At 39.0% G+C, this 19,629-nt stretch overlaps 1 protein-coding gene across 18 annotated transcripts in view, besides 2 other annotated features; it reads right to left on the bottom strand.

The window, feature by feature from the left end:
• AXDND1 (axonemal dynein light chain domain containing 1) overlaps window positions 1-19,629 on the bottom strand; it is a 189,031-nt gene that overhangs the window by 21,717 nt on the left and 147,685 nt on the right. For 14 of the 18 annotated variants that reach the window (XM_011509168.2, XM_011509169.2, XM_011509167.4 and 11 more), the window contains 3 exons: window positions 7,572-7,685; window positions 4,588-4,692; window positions 44-49 (listed from right to left, as the gene is read on the bottom strand). In XM_011509168.2, coding sequence (XP_011507470.1) covers window positions 44-49; window positions 4,588-4,692; window positions 7,572-7,685 — 225 coding nt within the window. The remainder of the gene's footprint in view (window positions 1-43; window positions 50-4,587; window positions 4,693-7,571; window positions 7,686-19,629) is intronic. The other 4 variants (NR_073544.2, NM_144696.6, XM_011509174.2 and 1 more) reach the window with 3 other exon arrangements.
• Window positions 2,868-3,693: an enhancer, noted in NCBI's record as "OCT4-NANOG-H3K27ac hESC enhancer chr1:179498461-179499286 (GRCh37/hg19 assembly coordinates)". NCBI's record gives its function as "activates a minimal SCP1, AML or CMV promoter by ChIP-STARR-seq in primed H9 embryonic stem cells {active_cell/tissue: H9 hESC(primed)}" and the evidence as "EXISTENCE:reporter gene assay evidence [ECO:0000049][PMID:30033119]".
• Window positions 14,928-16,127: an enhancer, noted in NCBI's record as "MED14-independent group 3 enhancer chr1:179486027-179487226 (GRCh37/hg19 assembly coordinates)". NCBI's record gives its function as "activates an origin of replication core promoter dependent on BRD2, BRD4, P300/CBP and CDK7 cofactors, and independent of MED14, by STARR-seq in HCT116 cells {active_cell/tissue: HCT116}" and the evidence as "EXISTENCE:reporter gene assay evidence [ECO:0000049][PMID:35650434]".

The raw sequence follows: 19,629 nt of genomic DNA, 5'->3' as shown, positions 1-19,629 counted from the left end.
AAGCCTCTCATCCTCAATCACACATCCCATCATACCACTATACCTTTTTCTAAAAGAGAAAAGAACCTGTGTTAGTCTCTTCACTATTTATTTATTTATTTATTTATTTATTTATTTATTCTTTTTCTTTTATAGAGACTGGATCTTGCTCTGTCACCCAGGCTACAGTGCAGTGGCACAATCATAGCTCACTGTAGCCTTGACCTCACAGGCTCAAGCAATCCTCCCACCTCAGCCTCCCAAGTGGCTGGGACTACAGGTGCACACCACCATGCCCAGCCAGTTTTTAATTTTTTTAGGTAGAGATTGGGTCTTGCTATGTTGCCCAGGCTGGTCTTGAACTCTTGGCCTCAAGTGATCCTCCTGCCTCAGCCTCCCAAGTGCTGAGATTATAGGCACTGGCCACCACACTTGGCCAACTTCTTCCCTTTTATGCTAGATATTAGACTCTTATTTTCTCTGTCACATATTTTTCTCTTTCTGTTTTGTTGCTTCTTTTGGGTAACTTGTTTGGAAAGTACACACTATCATTTTTCACCCTGAACCTAAGGTATGTGGTGTGGCTGTGCCCGCCTGGCACACACTACTAACTTATTTGTTCTTTTAAAAGAAAGGGTTTCAGAGCAGAGGCTTCTAGAACTGGAATTCCACACATGGTTTACAGCCCTATGAAACAACTAAAACTATCAGTAGAATCCAAGGTAAACCAGGATTGTCCACTACTACCTGCGTGCATTTGAGCCTTCTGACTCTCTCCTCATTCTGTCAATAGATATAAATTTAGTTACGATATGCTAGGAAAACATCCCTTTCTTTTGATACTGGCAAGTACAGATTAATGTTTTGTGGTCCATTTCAAGTCCTTCAATAGGAGAGCTTCAGACCGTGGTCTGAAATGACATTTTGGACATTCCCATGGTCTGAAATGCTGGTTGTGGGGCTGCTAGCATCCTCCATGTGTGCCAGATGGCAATCCCCCATGCATCAACCATATACTGATGCAGATGCCTCAAGGCTAATTACAGTTACTGCCACAAGCCTTCTTCTCAGACTCCAAACCTTCCTCTGGCTTTTGTGCTATTTTACTCACTATATGACAGAGACAAACATGGACCATGCGGCTCTTGTAATCAATTGCATTGGACCCTCCTTGCTTGTGCCTATGTGCTGTAGCTTCCAGTTAGTCTCCGTCTGACATCAATTCTGCCTTTAGGTTTTTTAGCTTGGTCCTCCTGGGGTTTGACTCTACTAATGGGCTTTGGGTTGCATCTCTATGGCTTGGGCATGCCTCAGGGAAGATCCCACTCCAGGCTCTGCTCCTTGGGATTCAGTTCTGGACCCCTAGTTGGACTGGGTGCTCCTATCAGCTTTGGACTATTCTCTGAGTACCAATATCCCCAAATATCAATCAACCTCGTCCCCTACTAGAATAGCACAATTAGGCCCCTTCTGTTTGAGCACCTGGTGATTGAAGCCACTTTTGCAAAATTATGATGGTAAGATAAATCTGATGGGGCTGACTCCATCTTGCTTGAGTCTCACAGGCTGGCTGACTTGGCTCATTCCTGGGCATGGGCAAAGTTTAAATGATAATAGCTCTTCCCCAAAACTAAACTACTAAACTACCCTTGTAAAACTAATGAAAGGCCACCAAGTTAGGAGTATGAGAGGGACCTGAATTCAGCCATTATTCCAGAGGTCACAAGATTTGCAACTTCCCTAATTATGCCTATAAATAACATCATTATTGTAGAACCTAAGGTTGGTATTTTGAGATGTCTTTTCAAGCTTCTGACAACAGGATGGTGCCACTCTGACTCATAACTCAGGTAGTCCTGTGGCCCCCACAGGACTGTTACACCAAAACTCCAGCATCAAATCTTAGAATATGGACTCAGTGCATGAGGACCATTTTCCATACCCCATGATTGCATCCCCAACCAATAAGCAACACCCATACCCTGGCCCCCTGCCTACCAAACTATCTTGGAAAAAGCCTAACCTTTGAGCCTTCAAGAAGATCGATTTGAGTAGTAACTCCATCTCCTACGTGGTGTGGCCAGCTTCATGTCAATTAAACTCTTTCTTTACTGCAATGCTGTGGTCCCAGCTAATTGATTGTGTCTGTGCAATGGGTAGGAAGGACCCACTGGGAAGTTACATGATCCCATTCTACTTGTGCAGTACTCCAGCCACCATTCCACAGGAAGAATGTGATTCTTCTTGGCTTCCAGGAACTTGCAAGTAATTGTACATCCAGATGGCATTTTAGTTCTTTCTCCAGATTTTTTGGTTAATCAGAACCTAGACAGTTTGGTCTTTAGTGATCTGTAGTAGCAGCAGCAACTTTTCAAAAGCTTAGACTTTTGAACATGGACTTACTGGTCCATGTTCTCCTTACCTGGGCTATCCACATGGCACTGCCAGTGTCACACAGAATGGCAGTATCTGGGAGCAGTGGACCTCACACTATCAAAGACATGTGATACTCCTGAGTTTTGTCCCAGGCTGCAGGCTCCTAGTTTCCTGACTGCTTCCTGCCTGGCTCCAGGGCCTAGCCTGGACGGCATACCAGAGTTCTAACTTTAGAGAAGCAAGTCTGAGGCAGGAGGGCTTGTAGCTGGGACTGGTGGGGGTTAGCAGATAAAAAGCTTCTACCTGTTGTCTTTGTCTCCTTTTTAAAAAATTTTGGCCGGGCGTGGTGGCTCACGCCTGTAATCCCAGCACTTTGGGAGGCCGAAGCAGGCGGATCATGAGGTCAGGAGTTCAAGACCAGCCTGACCAACATAATGAAACCCCATCTCTATTAAAAGTACAAAAAATTAGCCGGGCATGGTGGTGGGCACCTGTAATCCCAGGTACTTGGGAGGCTGAGGCAGGAGAATCGCTTGAACTTGGGAGGCAGAGGTTGCAGTGAGCCGAGATTGCACCATTGCACTCCAGCCCAGGTGACAGTGCGAAGACTCTGTCTCTAAATAAATAAATCTCACGACATTGTATTCCATTCCCACTGCTCCCTCTTACATATTTGCCTCACAGTCTTAGTGACCAACATAGTGATGCATTATTTTTAAAACTTGTTGAAAGTTCTCTGATGTCTCCCAAGGCACCACTTTGGGAGAATGTGCCAAAGGAAATTAAAATATATTACCCCCCAAATATATTTATTTGACATATTTTGAAATAGCCGCTGCCTGGCCAGGAAACAAAAGTGGCCTTGCAAAGCTGTCTTTTGTGGGAAAAATTTGCATCTGTAGAGAATCTCCATTAAAGCAGTCACCGCCGCTTCCCCTTTCTATGCCTTTCCAGGACCCAGGAGAGATTGAGAGTCTGATGCCTTTCAAAGTCTGAAAAGAAACATCTTTATTCTCTCTGAGGGAGACTTCATCTACATAACAAGGCCACCTTTGCCAGCCAAGCTTCTTCCTTTTCTCTCTCTCTCAACCAGTCTTTTCACTAACCTGATTCACCAAGGTAACCTGTTTCTAGCCATACTCAGTCTGTATTCTTTACTATGGCCTCAGGATGGTATATGAGCTTCTGGATCTTCATTCTGAAGGCTCTTATGTACACATGTTAAACAAATTTATATGCCTTTTCTCCTATTAATCAATTTGCCTCACATCAGTGATTTTTCAACAAATTTGTAGGGGGCCAAGAGCCTATGGCTCCCACACCCCTAATAATGAAATGGTTCTTAACTTTAGGATGGAGAAATTTGACAAAATCTATTGATCCCCCAATCCAAGAAAATGCACAATATGAACATACACACAAAATATTACCACCACTTCAGGGAATTAGTGGGATAAAGCCCATCCATAAACTCTTAAAGTCACAGTGTTCTGTAGAGAGTAAGACACTGATCTAGAGCTAACTGAAGTCTACCATGGTCCTACAACCAAACTTCTGTGGAGACATTTTAAATCTGCTTTCTTGCTGAGTGTCCACAGCTACTGTCTCTAAGTTCCCAGTTTCCCGACAGTTATTGTTCTTATGGGTATGTGCTTATTATCATAGCACTCAATAAAGTCTACTAAATGAATGTTTAACAATTAGTCAAATACTGACCAAGAGATAGTTAAACTAAGGAAAGAGATGAAATACTGATGTTAAAATGGGGTTTAGGCCGGGCGCAATAGCTCGCGTCTGCAGTCCCAGCTCTTTGGGAGGTTGAGGTGGGTGGATCACCTGAGGTCGGGAGATTGAGACCAGCCTAGCCAATATGGTGAAACCCTGTCCCTGCTAAAAGTACAAAAATTAGCCGGGCATGGTAGCAGGAACCTGTAATCCCAGCTACTCCAGAAACTGAGGCAGGAGAATCGCTTGAACCCGGGAGGCAGAGCAAAACTCTGTCAAAAAAAAAAAAAAAAAAAAGAGGTTTAAAGATGAGAATGAGAAGCTTTTGTAAAGTTACGGTGAAAAAAGGAGTTTTCCAGGAATTATGTTGGAAGAAAAATATCTGTAAAATACATGACTTAGGAATCCCTGGTCCCCTTAGAGTAGCTAAAAGTTATGTTAGCACCATATCATTTTTATGCAATGTTAAATAGTGTTGAATTCCCTAGCTGGGTTTCAGATACATACCCAGGAAGACAACACATCTGTTTCAAATAGAGGTTTGGAATGAACATTTTCATCTTCTCCAATGAATCGAATGAGTTTTTCCTTCTCTGTAGATGTTGAAGGTTGCTAGAACACAGAAACATGCGGACCTGTTAGCAAGCTGGTGTAGCACCCCAGCAAGTTTCCTGGCACGGTAGCAAGTTTCCTGGCACCATGTTGGAAGCTTACATTTTCCATTTCCTTTAATCACACAACAAGAATTTTTGAAGACTTTCACATAGCAAACGCTGTGAAAAACTGGTAGGATGGGGAGTGTGGACAAGGGGATATAACTATGGGAAAAACAAAGAGGATTTCTTCCAGCTTCCAGGAACTGACAGTACTATAGGAGAGATAGATAATAAAATGAATAATTATGGTATAACATGATTACTGTTAGCATAAAAGTGTGCTCCAAGGGCTGTGCACACCCAGAAAAGGGTCATGCCTTCTTCCTAGGTACTTCAGGAATTATTAACAGAGAAAGTGATATTTAAAGGCCGAACAGGTGCTTGTAAAATAGAGAGGACAGGGGCTCAACTAAGTCTACAGGTGGTAGTAGTAATAGCAGTAGTTGCAGTAGTAATGGTTTTGTTACCAGAAAAGGGGTCTTATCCCAGACCCCAAGAGCAGGTTCTTCGATCTCACACAGGATAAAATTCAGGGTGAGTCTCAGAGTATAGTAAAGTAAAAGCAGTTTACTAGAAATTACTCTATTACAGAGTTGGGTATCCTCAGAAAGCAAGAGGAGAAATGCCCTTAACATAAACATAATGCTTGCTTATATAGGATATTAACACTAAGAATAGTGTACTTTATTATAAAGGCTGGTGATCAGCTTGTGACAGGCTATTAGTATTATTATTCTCTAGTGTAACTGTTGACTTCAGCAATAATTTATGAGTATACTGTCAGAGACGTATGAACCAGAAAAACTCCATCTTAAAGAGTAGCTGGGTACAATGAGGCTAAAACCCACTGGGCTGCCTCCCCAGATGGTTAAGGCATTCTAAGTCATAGGATGAGACAAAAGGTCAGCACAAAATACAGGTCATAAAGACCTTGCTGATAAAACAGGTTGCAGTAAAGAAGCCGGTCAAAACCCACCAAAACCACAATGGCCACAAGAGTGACCTCTGGTTGTCCTCACTGCTATACTCCCATCAGCGCCATGACAGTTTACAAATGCCATGGCAATGTCAGGAAGTTACCCTATATGGTCTAAAAAGGGGAGGCATGAATAATCCACCCCTTGTTCAGCATATCATCAAGAAAATGGGCAACCAGCAGCCCTTAAGGCTACTCTGTCTATGGAGTAGCTGTTCTTTTATTCTTTTACTTTCTTAATAAACTTGCTTTCACTTTGGACTGCAAACTCGCTCTGAATTCTTTCTTGTGCAAGATCCAAGAATCCTCTCCTGGGCTCTGAATCATGACACCTTTCCTGTAACAGTACCATTATCTTTAAAGTGAAACCCATTTTTAAACTGAGAATGCCTTTTTCCATTAACTCGTTTCCTCAACCATAAACATCTTGTGACTAAGAGTGTCCAATTTCCTGGGAAAGTAACCCAGTAGGTTTTGCTTTATCTGGACTTTATTCAAGATGGAGTCACTCTGGTTAAGACACCTCTGACAATTTCCATTTATTCTGTGCCTTCTACATACCAAGCACTTTACCAGAAATAAAACAGAAAATGCTGATTGAAATAGGCTTGGGTGTTATATAATATTTTTGTTCTGTTGTCCTGCCTGTGCAGTGAGTAGAAGACCTATTTCAGAGCCTGGAGTCATGCCAACACTTAAACTATATACAGAGAAGAAATATATCAAAGAAGTAAATCAAGACATTGTAGAGAGTGTTAGGCAATCATGAGTTCTAGGAAGCCAAAGGCAGTAGTAGTCAATCTAAGAATTAGCAAGGGGTCTTGTGCCAGACTTAACTGGGTTTGAATATCGGTTCTGCCACTTACAGCTATATGATTTTGAGTAAATCAGTCAACCTCTCTGAGCTTCAGTTTTCTTATCTGTAAAATGGGGGCAATAATATAAACCTTGAAGTTGTGTTGCATAGATAAGAGATAATATGTGCAAAGTATATCACTCATGATAGGCACTCAATTTTTGGTAATCATCGTATTATTATTATTATTACAAATGTCCCAGGAAGGGTTTTTATTACTACAAATGCCCCTGCGGGGGTTGAGACGGGGTAAAGAGAGGAGAGGTCTGGTGATGGGCCTGGGAGGAGGGCAAAAGGCAGCTCAGAATGGGAGCTGAAGAAGTAGAAATATGGAGTTTTAAAGTGTTATCTGAAAAAATGTGGCAATGAAGGGCTAAAAAAATAGTACCAGAGTGAGAAGTAGATTGTGTAGTTAATAGGAATAAAAGTATAAATGAGGCTAATGGGAAATGGCTGGATTTAGAAGGGAAAAGGAACATTCCCTTCCTCTGAAAATAAAGTGACAAAGATAAATATTTCTGCAGGTTTGGCTAAATCTATATGAGGAAAAGAAGGAAACTGGAGTTCACTCCAGACCACCTACTTCTATTCTCCACTGTCTGTGTGTGTCTATAATTTTCCCCCCACTATATATGTCTGTGTATATATATATATATGGTCCAAGCATGGTGGCTCATATCTGTAATCCCAGCACTTTAGGAGGCTGAGGTAAGAGGATCGCTTGAGACCAGTTCAAGACCAGCCTGGGCATAGCAAGATCCCATCTCTATAAAAAAAATTTTAAAAATTAGCTAGGCATGGTGGTGCATGCCTGTAGTCCTAGCTACTCAAGAGGCTGAGGCAGGAGGATCATTTGAGCCCCAGAGTTCGAGGTTACAGTGAGCTATGATGATACCACAGCACTCCAACCTGGGTGACAGGGCAGGACCCTGTCTCTAAAATATATGTATGTATGTATGTATGTATGTATGTAGGAGGAAAAACAAATACCAAATAATCTTACTTCTTCTGCTCTCTCTTTATTTTCCTCCTGAAGTTTCCTATCCTCCTTACTTTCTTCTTCATCTTCTTTAAAAGACTCGTCTATTTCAGGCTCAATGAATTCTTTTACAGCCTCCTGTGAGATGAACCAATATTATGATTAAAGGGTGTATATAAATATTAGCAATTATTTGTTCAAAATATTTAATGAGCACTAATCCTGCAGCTGGGTACTGTGCTAGTGACAAGGATACAAAGGTTGATAAGAATAGTCCCTGTCCTTAAGAAACTTATTAATTTCACGGACAAGAAAATACAATGAATGCATACATTCACATAGTAGGAGCACCTAATTTAGACCAGGTAGTGGACTGGGTAAAAGAGGGAGTTGGTTAGGAAGGTTTCCTGAAGGAGATAATGTTTGAGTTTTTTTCTTGAAGGATGGGGAAGGAAAAGAAGCAGCTCTGGGCAGAGGATGTTCCATGCACATGATTGGATCTGAGAGAGCATAGTTCAATAGGACAAAAACTGGGAGACAAATGAATAGGAGTGCAATCAGAGAGAAAGGGCTAGACTGTCAAGCCAGGGAGATGATTGGCTCTTATCCTGAAGGCAATGAGGCTCTAATAAATTGGTTGATTTGCTTTGCATTTCAAAACAATCATTCTAGCAACAGGAGAATAGCTTTAAAGAAGAGGAAGAAAGGGAAGCAGAGGAAGAGAAAAGGAGCGTGAACAAAACAGTGGCTGCGGGAATGAAGAGAAGGAAAAGGAGGATTTAAGAGATATTTAAGAGGCAAGTCCTAGTGATTGACTGGATGGACACGGGATGGTTAGAGAAAATGTGCATCTTGAATGACACTTAGTTTACAGTTTAGACCACTAGAGAGATGACAATGCCATTCACAGAGACAATGAACAAAACTGGATAAATAGGTTTGGAGAGAGAGATGAGTTCAGATTAGGCTGTGAGAGTTGGAGGTACCACTGAGATACCCAAGTGAAAATACCCAGCAAGAAGGTGAATATATGGATCTGGAGTTTAAGATGGAAGAATTTGGGCTAAAAATAGAGATCTGACAGTCATCTGCCTTTAATTAAAGCCAAGAAAGTAAATTATATCCTAAAGGCAAACTTGTGAAGTAGCCAGAGAATTAGACAGTAACCCAGTTACATAAAATGCTAGGGATCTATGGAAAACAGTGTAGTGATTCCTTAAAGAACTAAAAGTAGATCTACCATTTGATCCAGCAATCCCACTCCTGGGTATCTACCCAGAGAAAAAGCAGTCATTATATGAAAAAGATAATTTTACATGCATGTTTATAGCAGCACAATTCACAATTGCAAAAATATGGAACCAGCCCAAATGCCCATCAATCAATGAGTGAATAAAGAAAATGTGGTATATATACACCATGGAATACCACTCAGCCATAAAAAGGAATGAAATAATGGCATTTGGAGACTGTTATTCTAAGTAAAGTAACTCAGGAATGGAAAACCAAATATTGTACGTTCTCACTCATAAGTGGGAGCTAAGCTATGAGGATGCAAAGCCATAAGAATGATACAATGGACTTTGGGGATTCAGGGGAAAAGGGTGGGAGGTGAGGAGGGATAAAAGACTACACATTGGGTACAGTGTACACTGCTTGGGTAATGGGTGCACCAAAATCTGAGAAATTATCACTAAAGAACTTACTCATGTAACCAACTATGACCTGTTCCCCAAAAACCTATTGGGAAAAAAAAAGGAATGATGTTCTGATGCAGGCAACAATGTGGCTGACCTCTGAAAACACTATGCTAAGGGAAATAAGCACAAAAGGCCACATATTATATAATTCCATTTACATGACATGTCCAGAATAGGCAAATCCATAGAGCCAGAAACCGTGTGGTGTTTCCAGGGCCTGAGAAGAAAGGGGAAATTTGAGTGACTGCTAACCAGTATGGATTTTCTTTTTGGGAATGATTAAAATGTTCTGGAATTCAATAGTGATTATCACTGTACAACTTTGTGAATATACCACAAACTATTACTGAATTGTACATATTACATGAATTGTGTCTCAATAAAGCTGTTATTTTTAGAAAAATAATTTGGCCACTCCACATTGTACACATACTTCAAAACATCATGTTGTACACAATAAATATATACAATTTTTATTTGTCAATTAAAATAAATAAATAGGAAATTGCTGCCTCAAAAAAAAAAAAACAAAAACAATCAGATGAAATCAAAAGCCTATACTCAAGGAAAACAATAATAGATTTTCAAACCTCTGAAAAAAATAAAATGCTAGGGAAGAAAGAGGAGCCTGAAAAGGCAGCCAGAAGTAGCCTCTGAAGTATGAGAGGCCACGAGGAAAGCCAAAAGAGAAGAAAGAAGGAGTCATCAGTATTGAACACCTCAAAGGAGTCTACTCATATAGATTTAAAAACATCCTCTGGGTGTTTACAGCAGCAATATTTATAAAAGCAAAAGCTAGCAATAAGCTCAATGCCCACAATAGGAAAATGCACAAATAAATTATGGTGTAAGCCATATAACAAAATACTTTATAGCAATGTTAAATTATGCTATAGAAATATGTGTACAGTATAGAAAAATAGTCACAATGTGACTAAAAAATTAGGATATTTTTACAAAATGAAAATACTTTTTTTCTTGATAACATTCTTGCTATAAAATATTTGAACACTACAGAGGAATTAAGAATCTTAACTCTCAGAGTTAACAATTTTTATCATTTGCTGAATATTCTGCTAGACTGCTTTTTGCATCTATAAACATTTTAATATAAATGAGATAATATATCTTATATTCTATAATCTGCTTTTCTCAATAATATATCATGGATTATATTTATTTAACTACTTAAACATCTACTTTATCTGCATAGAATTCCATTATTTCAATGTACCATGTTGTATTTAACTAATCTCCTACTGATCAACATTCATATTGTTTCTAGTATTTTGCTATTATACTATGCTGTAATAAACATTCTTATACAGATACATCATATATTAGAATTATCAAACAGACTACAAAAGTTATACTTAACCTATTTAAAGAAATAAGAGATTGAAAATATGAGCAAAGACAGAAAGATTACAAAAATGATGAGACTTGAAAAAGAATCAAATAGGACTTCAGCAATTTAATTTAAAAACTCAACAGAAAGGTTTAATGGCAGATGAAATTCAATTGGAGGGCAAATTAGTGAACTGGATAGTAAGCCAGAAAAATTATTCAGGATGCAATGCAGAGAAATAGAGAGAGAATATGAAAGAAGGTTAAGAGACATGGGGGATTGATTCCAACACACATTCATTTAGAGTTCTAGAAGGAAAGAAGAGAGCAAATGCAGTAGAGGCAATATTTGAATAGATGACTGAGAATTTTCCAGATCTAACAAAAGATACCAAATTAAAGATTCAGGAAATCAAGAGAATCCCAAGCAAAATTTAAAAGAAAAGAAAATCCATCTCCACATTAATCAGAGCAAAGACAAAAAGACGACCTTAAAAATAGAGAGAAGAGATGAATTCACTTCAAAGGAACTGACAGCTGGATTCTCAATGGTCAGTTCAATAACAACAAAATCCAGAAAACAGTAAAAATAATAACGATGTGCTGAGAGAAAAGAATACCATCCCAGAATCAATAGCATACCCAGCAAAAAAAAAAAAAAAAAAATGTAAGAATGAGGGTGAAATAAAGGCATTTTCAGACAAACAAAAACTGAGTTTGCCACCAGGATATCTTCACTAAAGAAAATTCTACAGGTTAAGGTAGAAGACAAATGACCCAAGGTGGATATCTGAGACTTTTGAAGAAAGAACAAATAAATTAAATTATAAATCAGCTCCAATGCCAGCATATTTCTTAAAGGTAAATCACTAAAGGCATTCCTGCTAAAGTCAGAAACAAGAAAAGGATGCTTGTTATCTCCACTACTATTTAATATTGAATTAGAAGAATTATTCAATATAATTAAAAAAGAAAAAGCAACTAGAAGTATCAGAATTGAAAAGAAAGAGGTAAAACTATCCCTATTTGTAGGTGATTTGATTAAGTATCTAGAAAACCCCAAAGAATCCACTGAAAAACTACTAAAAACAGTAAGAGGAAGAGCAGCAGGAGGAGGAGAGAGAAATACAGTAAGAGAATTTAGTAAAGTCACAGCATATAAAATTAAAATAGGAATGGTGGTGAACATCTGTAAGCCCAGCACTTTGGGAGGCTGAGGCAGGAGGATCACTTGAGCCCAGGAATTCAAGCCAGCCTAGGCAACATAGCAAGACCCTGTCTCTGCGAAATTAAAAATTAGCCAGGCATGGTGCCACGCACCTATAATCCCACATAGTCCGGAGGCTGAGGTGGGAGGACTTCTTGAGCACAGGAAGTCAAGGCTGCAGTGAACCATAACTGGACCGCTGAACTCCAGCCTGGGTGACAGAGTATGATCCAATCTCAAAAAATAAAACAAAATTAAATTAAATTAAATTAAAATACAGAAATTGATTATATATATATAGTCTGTATATATATAATATATATAAATATGCTGTATATATATATAACTGTATATATATATACAGTTACTAGTTAGAAGATATAATGGAAAAGAATGTCTCATTTAAAATAGCAAAAAATAAAATATTCAGGCATAAACCTAATAAGAAACGTACAAAATAAGCAAACAAATAAGATATGATTTAAAGGCATAAAAGTAGACATCCTATATTCCATATTCTTGGATAATACAATTCAGCATCATAAACATGTCTACTCTAAGTTAATATATAAATTTAATATTATGCTAGTTTTAAAAAATCTTATTTTTAAGAACTAGCTTATAAAGTTATATAGAAAAATAGCCAGGTGCAGTGGTGCATGCCATAGTCCCAGCTACTCTGGAGGCTGAGGCAGGAGGATCACTTAAGCCCAGGAGTTTGAGACCAGCCGAGGCAACATCAAGACCCTGTCTCTAAAAAATAAATAAATAAATAAAAGGAAGAATAAGTAAGCAAGAATAGCAATGAAATGCCTGAAAAAGATCAGTGATGAGGGCTGGTCCTACCAGATATGAAAATGTATCGTAAGAAAGTCAAACTATCCCTGTTTGCAGATGACATGATCCTATATCTAGAAAACCCCATTGTCTCAGCCCAAAAGCTTCTTAAGCTGATAAACAACTTCAGCAAAGTCTCAGTATACAAAATCAGCATGCAAAAATCACTAGCATCCCTATACATTAACAATAGTCAAGCCAAGAGCCAAATCACAAATGAACTCCCATTCACAATTGCCAGAAAAAGAATAAAATACCTTAGGAATATAGCTAACTAGGAAGGTGAAAGATCTCTAAAAGGAGAACTACAAACCACTGCTCAAAGAAATCACAGATGACACAAATGGAAAAACATTCCATACTCATAAAAAGGAGGAATCAATATCGTTAAAATGGCCATACTGGCAAGGGCAATTTATAGATTCAATGCTATTCCTATCAAACTACCATTGACATTCTTCACAGAACTAGAAAAAAACTATTTTAAAATTCATAAGGAATCAAGAAGAAGCCTGAACAGTGAGGCAATCCTAAGAAAAAGAACAAAGCCGAAAGCATCACACTACCCAACTTCAAAGTATAGTACAGGGCTACAGTAACCAAAACAGCATGGTATAATACAAGAACAGACACATACACCAATGGAACAAAATGGAGAACCCAGAAATAAGACTTCACACCGACAAACCATCTGATCTTCAACAAAGCTGACAAAAACAAGCAATAGGGAAAGAATTCCCTATTCAGTAAATGGTGCTGGGATAACTGGATAGCCATATGGAGAAAACTGAAACTGGAACCCTTCCTTATGCCATATACAAAAATTAACTGAAGATGGGATTAAAGGCTTAAATGTAAAACCCAAAACTATAAAAACCCTGGAAGACAACCTTGGCAATACCATTCTGGACATAGAAACGGGAAAAGATTTCACAATGAAGATGCCAAAAACAATTGCAACAGAAGCAAAAATTGACAAATGGCATATCTAATTAAACTAAAGAGCTTCTGGACAGTAAAAGAAACTATCCATAGAGTAAACAGACAACCTACAGAATGGGAGAAAATTTTTGCAAACTATGTATCCGACAAAGGTCTAATATCCAACATCTATGAGGAACTTAAACAAATTTACAAGCAAAAAACAACCCCATAAAAAAGTGGGCAAAGGACATGAACAGACAGTTTTGAAAAGACAAAAATGTGGCCAATAATCATATGAGAAAAAGCTCAACATCACTGATCATTAGAGAAATACAACTCAAAACCATAATGAGCTACCATCTAACACCAGTCAGAATGGCAACTATTATAAAGTCAAAAAATAACAGATGCTGGCAAGGTTGTGGAGAGAAAGGATCACTTATATACACTGTGGTGGGAGTGTAAATTAGTTCAGCCATGGTGGAAGACAGCGTGGTGATTCTTCAAAGATCTAAAGACAGAAATATCATTTGACCCAGCAATCCCATTACTAAGTATATACCTGAAGGAATATAAATCATTCTATGATAAAGACACATGCATGCATATGTTCACTGCAGCACTATACACAATAGCAATGACATGGAACTAACCTAAATATCCATCAATGATAGACTAGATAAAGAAAATGCAGTACATATACACCATGGAATACTATGCAGCCATAAAAAAGAATGAGATCATGTCATTTGCAGGGACATGGATGGAGCTAGAGGCCATTATTCTTAGCAAACTAACACAGGAAGAGAAAACCAAATACTACATTTTCCCTGTTAAGTGGGACCTAAATGATGAGACCACATGGACACACAAAGGGGAACAATACATACTGGGGCCTTTCGGATGGTGGAGGATGGACAGAGGGAGAGGATCAAGAAAAACAGCTAATGGGTACTAGGCTCAATACCTAGGTGATGAAATAATCTGTACAACAAACCTCCATGACACAAGTTTACCTTTGTGACAAACCTGCACATGTACCCCGAACTTAAAAGTCAAAAAAAAAAAAAAGAAAAAGGAAAATGTATCATAAAGCCTCAATAATTAAAATATTGTGGTAATGACCCACTAATAGACAGATCAATAGAAAAGAATAGAAAATCAAAAAATAGACTTAGGTTGAATACAGCTGTTTTTAAATGTTGGAAATATTATCATATGGAAGACAAATCAGCCCTGTTCATATTAACCAGAAAAGACTGAACTAGGACCAGTTCGCAGAAAAAGCTAAAGCTACGAGGAGACATATTACATTTAGTTCAATAGAAAGAATTAATGTTCTAATACTCAGTGCTCACCAAAAATGAATGGAGTCTTTCTGAAAGTAGTTCTCTGTCACTTCAGATATTCAAACTTAAGCATAATGATCAAGTATGGATGTTATATTAAGACTCATCATCAGATAAAAGAGAAGATCATCCTGGTGGATGGGAAGTAGGACTAGATTGTAGCTCCAACTCAGATGGACAGAGCAGTGTGTGGAGGCTCACGTGAGAAATTTTAGCTCCAGAATGACTGCAAGAACAAAGCAGGAATCCCGAGAGGACCCAAAGACCCTCCGAAGGCAGTGGACTGCTCCTGCAGGACCTGGGAGACACCCCAAATACTGTGAGTGCCCAAACTGCGAAAGTGGGAAAGGGAGACCCTCCACTCCCAAACACACCCCCACTGGGGAAACTGAAGGTCTGGTTTGCAGGAGAAGTTTCCAACCTTACCTGGAGCTGAGTCAATTTAGAGAGCCGAGCAAAATACAGGGGTAGAGGAAGCAGCAGGAAAGGCTCTGGGAGTTCGCAGGGTCCCCAAGCAGGCCATTCCTGCCTGGCACCACAGGGATCCTTCGGGAGGGCGGCCAGAGGCACAGGGGAAAACGCCCCAAGGAGAAGGAAGTCTCCAGCTGAACTTTGTAACAATTTGAATCGGGCGAGGTGCCTCCCGCTAGAACTCAGGGGAGGGCATGAATCCAGTGTACAGACTCCACAGGGGGAAGAACAACCAAAACTCTTTTCTTTTGCAGCTGGGAGGCAGGTAGCATGGGACAAGTTCTCAAGTCCTGCTTGCCCACTGCCTGGAAACAGCCTTAAGGCTGTTAGTAGGGGCATGGTGGGAGTAAGACCAGCCCTTCAGATTGTGTGGAGACCAGGTGAGGTCTGTGACCGCCTGCTTTCCCCCACTTCCCTGACAACCTGCATGACTCAGCAGAGGCAGCCATAATCCTCCTAGGTACATAACTCCACTGACCTGGGAAACTCACCCCCATTCCCCACAGCAGCCACAGCAAGACCTGCCCAAGAAGAATCTGAGCTCAGACACGCCTAGCCCTGCCCCGACCTGGTAGCTGAAGACAAAGGGTGGGTAGGGTATATGAAGAAATATACTCTTGGGAGTTCTGGGGCTCTGCCCACCACCAGTTCCTCTCCATACTATCACAGCTGATGCTCTTTGGAAAGTGCCACCTCCCGGCAGGAGACCAAGCAGCACAAAAACAGAACATTAAACCACCAAAGCTAAGAACCCTCACGAACTGTTTCACCCCCGCTGCCACCTCCACTAGAACAGGTGCTGGTATCCACGACTGAGGGAGCCATAGACGGTTCACATCACAGGACTCTGTGCAGATAACCCCCAGCACCAGCCCAGAACCAGGTAGGCTTGCTGGGTGGCTAGACCAAGAAGAGAGATAACAATTACTACAGTTCAGCTCATAGGAAGCCACATCCATAGGAAAAGGGGGAGAGTACTACATCAAGGGAGAACCCCATGGGACAAAAGAATCTGAACAAAAGACTTCAGCTCTATACCTTCCCTCTGACAGAGCCTACCCAAATGAGAAGGAACCAGAAAACCAACTCTGGTACTATGACAAAACAAGGCTCTTTAACACCCCCAGAAAATCACACTAGCTCACCAGCAATGGTTCCAAACCAAGAAGAAATCCCTGATTTACATGAAAAAGAATTCAGGATGTTAGTTATTAAGCTAATCAGGGAGGCACCAGAGAAAGGCGAAGCCCAATGCAAGGAAATCCAAAAAAATGATACAAGAAGGAAAGGGAGAAATATTCAAGGAAATAGATGGCATAAAGAAAAAGCAATCAAAACATCAGGGAAATTGGGCACACTTACAGAACTGCAAAATGCTCTGGAAAGTCTCAGCAATAGAATTGAACAAGTAGAAGAAAGAAATTCAGAGCTCGAAGACCAGGTCTTCGAATTAACCCAATCCAACAAAGACAAAGAAAAAAGAAAAAGAAAATATGAACAAAGCCTCCAAGAAGTCTGGGATTATGTTAAATGACCAAACCTAAGAATAATTGATGTTCCTCATAGTGTACTTATACAAATGGAGGGTATAGCCCACCACACACACCTTGGCTATATGATATAACCTTTTGCTCCCAGGCTATAAACCTGTACAGCATGTACTACACTGAATACTGTAGGCAACTGTAACACAATGGTTTGTATCTGTGTATCTTAACATAGAAAAGGTATAGTAAAAATACAGTCTTATAATCTTATGGGACTGCTATCTTATCTGCAGTCTGTTGTTAACTAAAACATCCTTATGCAGTGCATGACTGTATCTTGCAATTTCTTAACTTTTGCCAATATGATGAGTAAAAAAAATGAACCCTCATTTGTACTTTAACTTACATTATAATTTTTTTGTGGATTAAAAAAAAGAATAATTGATGTTCCTGAGGAAGAAAAGAAATCTAAAAGTTTGGAAAACATATTTGGGGGAATAATTGAGGAAAACTTCCCTGGCCTCGCTAGAGATCTAGACATCCAAATACAAGAAGCACAAAGAACACCTGGGAAATTCATCGCAAAAAGATCATCACCTAGGCACGTTGTCATCAGGTTATCTAAAGTTAAGACGAAGAAAAGAATCTTAACATCTGTGAGACAAAAGCATCAGGTACCCTATAAAGGAAAACCTAACAGATTAACAGCAGTTTTCTCAGCAGACACCCTACAAGCTGGAAGGGATTGGGGCCCTATCTTCAGCCTCCTCAAACAAAACAATTATCAGCCAAGAATTTTGTATCCAGCGAAACTAAGCATCATATATGAAGGAAAGATATAGTCTTTTCCAGACAAACAAATGCTGAGAGAATTCGCCACTACCAAGCCACCACTACCAAGAACTGCTAAAAAGAGCTCTAATCCTGGAAACACATCAAAACAGAAGCTCTTTAAAGCATAAATCACACAGGACTTATAAAACAAAAAAAATGAAAATTTAAAAAGCAAAAATAAAAAACAAAAAACCAAGGTACAAAGTCAACAAATAGCACGATGAATGGAATGGTATCTCACATCTCAATAGTAACATTGAATGTAAATGGCTTAAATGCTCTACCTAAAAGATACAAAACTGCAGAATGGATAAGAACTCACCAACCATCTGCTCCCTTCAGGATACTCACCTAACACATAAGGACTACATAAACTGAAATAAAAAGGTTGGAAAAAGCATTTCATGCAAATGGACACCAAAAGCGAGCAGGGGTAGCTATTCTTATATCAGACAAAACAAACTTTAAAGCAACAGCAGTTGAAGAGACAAAGAGGGACATTATATAATGGTAAAGGCCTTGTCCAACAAGAAAATATCACAATCCTAAACATATATGCACCTAACACTGGTGCTCCCAAATTTGTAAAACAATTACTAACAGACCTAAGAAATGAGATAGACAGCAATACATAACAGTGGGGGACTTCAATACTCCACTGACAGCACTAGACAGGACATCAACACAAAAAGTCAACAAAGAAACAATGGATTTAAACTATACCTTGGAACAAATGGACTTAGCAGATATATACAAAACATTTTCTCCAACAACCACAGAATACACATTCTATTCAACAGTGCACAGAACCTTCTCCAAGATAGACCATGTGATAGGCCACTAGATGAGCCTCAATAAATTTAAGAAAATTGAAATTATATCAAGCACTCTCTCAGAGTGGAATAAAATTGGAAATCAACTCCAAAAGGAACCTTCAAGACCATGCAAATACATGGACGTTAAATAACCTGCTCCTGAATGATCATTTGGTCAAAAACAAAACTCAGACGGAAATTAAAAATTCTTTGAACTGAACAACAATAATGACACTACCTATCAAAACCTCTGGGATACAGCAAAGGCTGTGCTAAGAGAAGAGTTCATAGCATTAAATGCCTATATCAAAAAGACGGAAAGAATACAAACCGACATTCTAAGGTCACACCTCAAGGAACTAGAGAAACAAGAACAAACCAAACCCAAACCCAGCAGAAGAAAGGAAATAACCAAGATCAGAGCAGAATTAAATGAAATTGAAATAAACAAACAAAAAAAATACAAAAGATAAATGAAACAAAAAGCTAGTTCTTGGAAAAGATAAATAAATTTGATAGACTATTAGCAAGATTAACCAAGAAAAGAACAGAAAAAATCCAAATAACCTAATTAAGACACAAAACTGGACATATTACAACTGACACCGCTGAAATACAAAAGATCATTCAAGGCTACTAAGAACATCTTTATGCACATAAACTAGAAAACCTAGAAGAGATGGATAAATTCCTGGAAAAATACAACACTCCTAGCTTAACTCAGAAAGAATTAGATACCCTGAACAGACCAATAGCAAGCACCAAGATTTAAATGGTAATTAAAAAATTACCAACAAAAAAAAAGTCCAGGACCAGAAGGATTCACAGCAGAATTCTACCAGACATTCAAAGAATTGATACCAATCCTTTTGACACTATTCCACAAGATAGAGAAAAAAGGGAACCTTCCCTAATTCATTCTATGAAGGCAGAATCACCCTAATACCAAAACCAGGAAAGGACATATCTAAAAAAGAAAACCACAGACTGACATCCCTGATAAACACAGACACTAAAATCTTTAACAAAATACTCGCTAACTGAATCCAACAACATATCAAAAAGATAATCCACCATGATCACGTGGGTTACATAGCAGGGATGCAGGGAT

Source organism: Homo sapiens, chromosome 1 (genome assembly GCF_000001405.40).
Source record: "Homo sapiens chromosome 1, GRCh38.p14 Primary Assembly".
NCBI classification, from domain to species: domain Eukaryota; kingdom Metazoa; phylum Chordata; class Mammalia; order Primates; family Hominidae; genus Homo; species Homo sapiens.
This window is presented reverse-complemented; position numbering and strand designations above follow the sequence as displayed.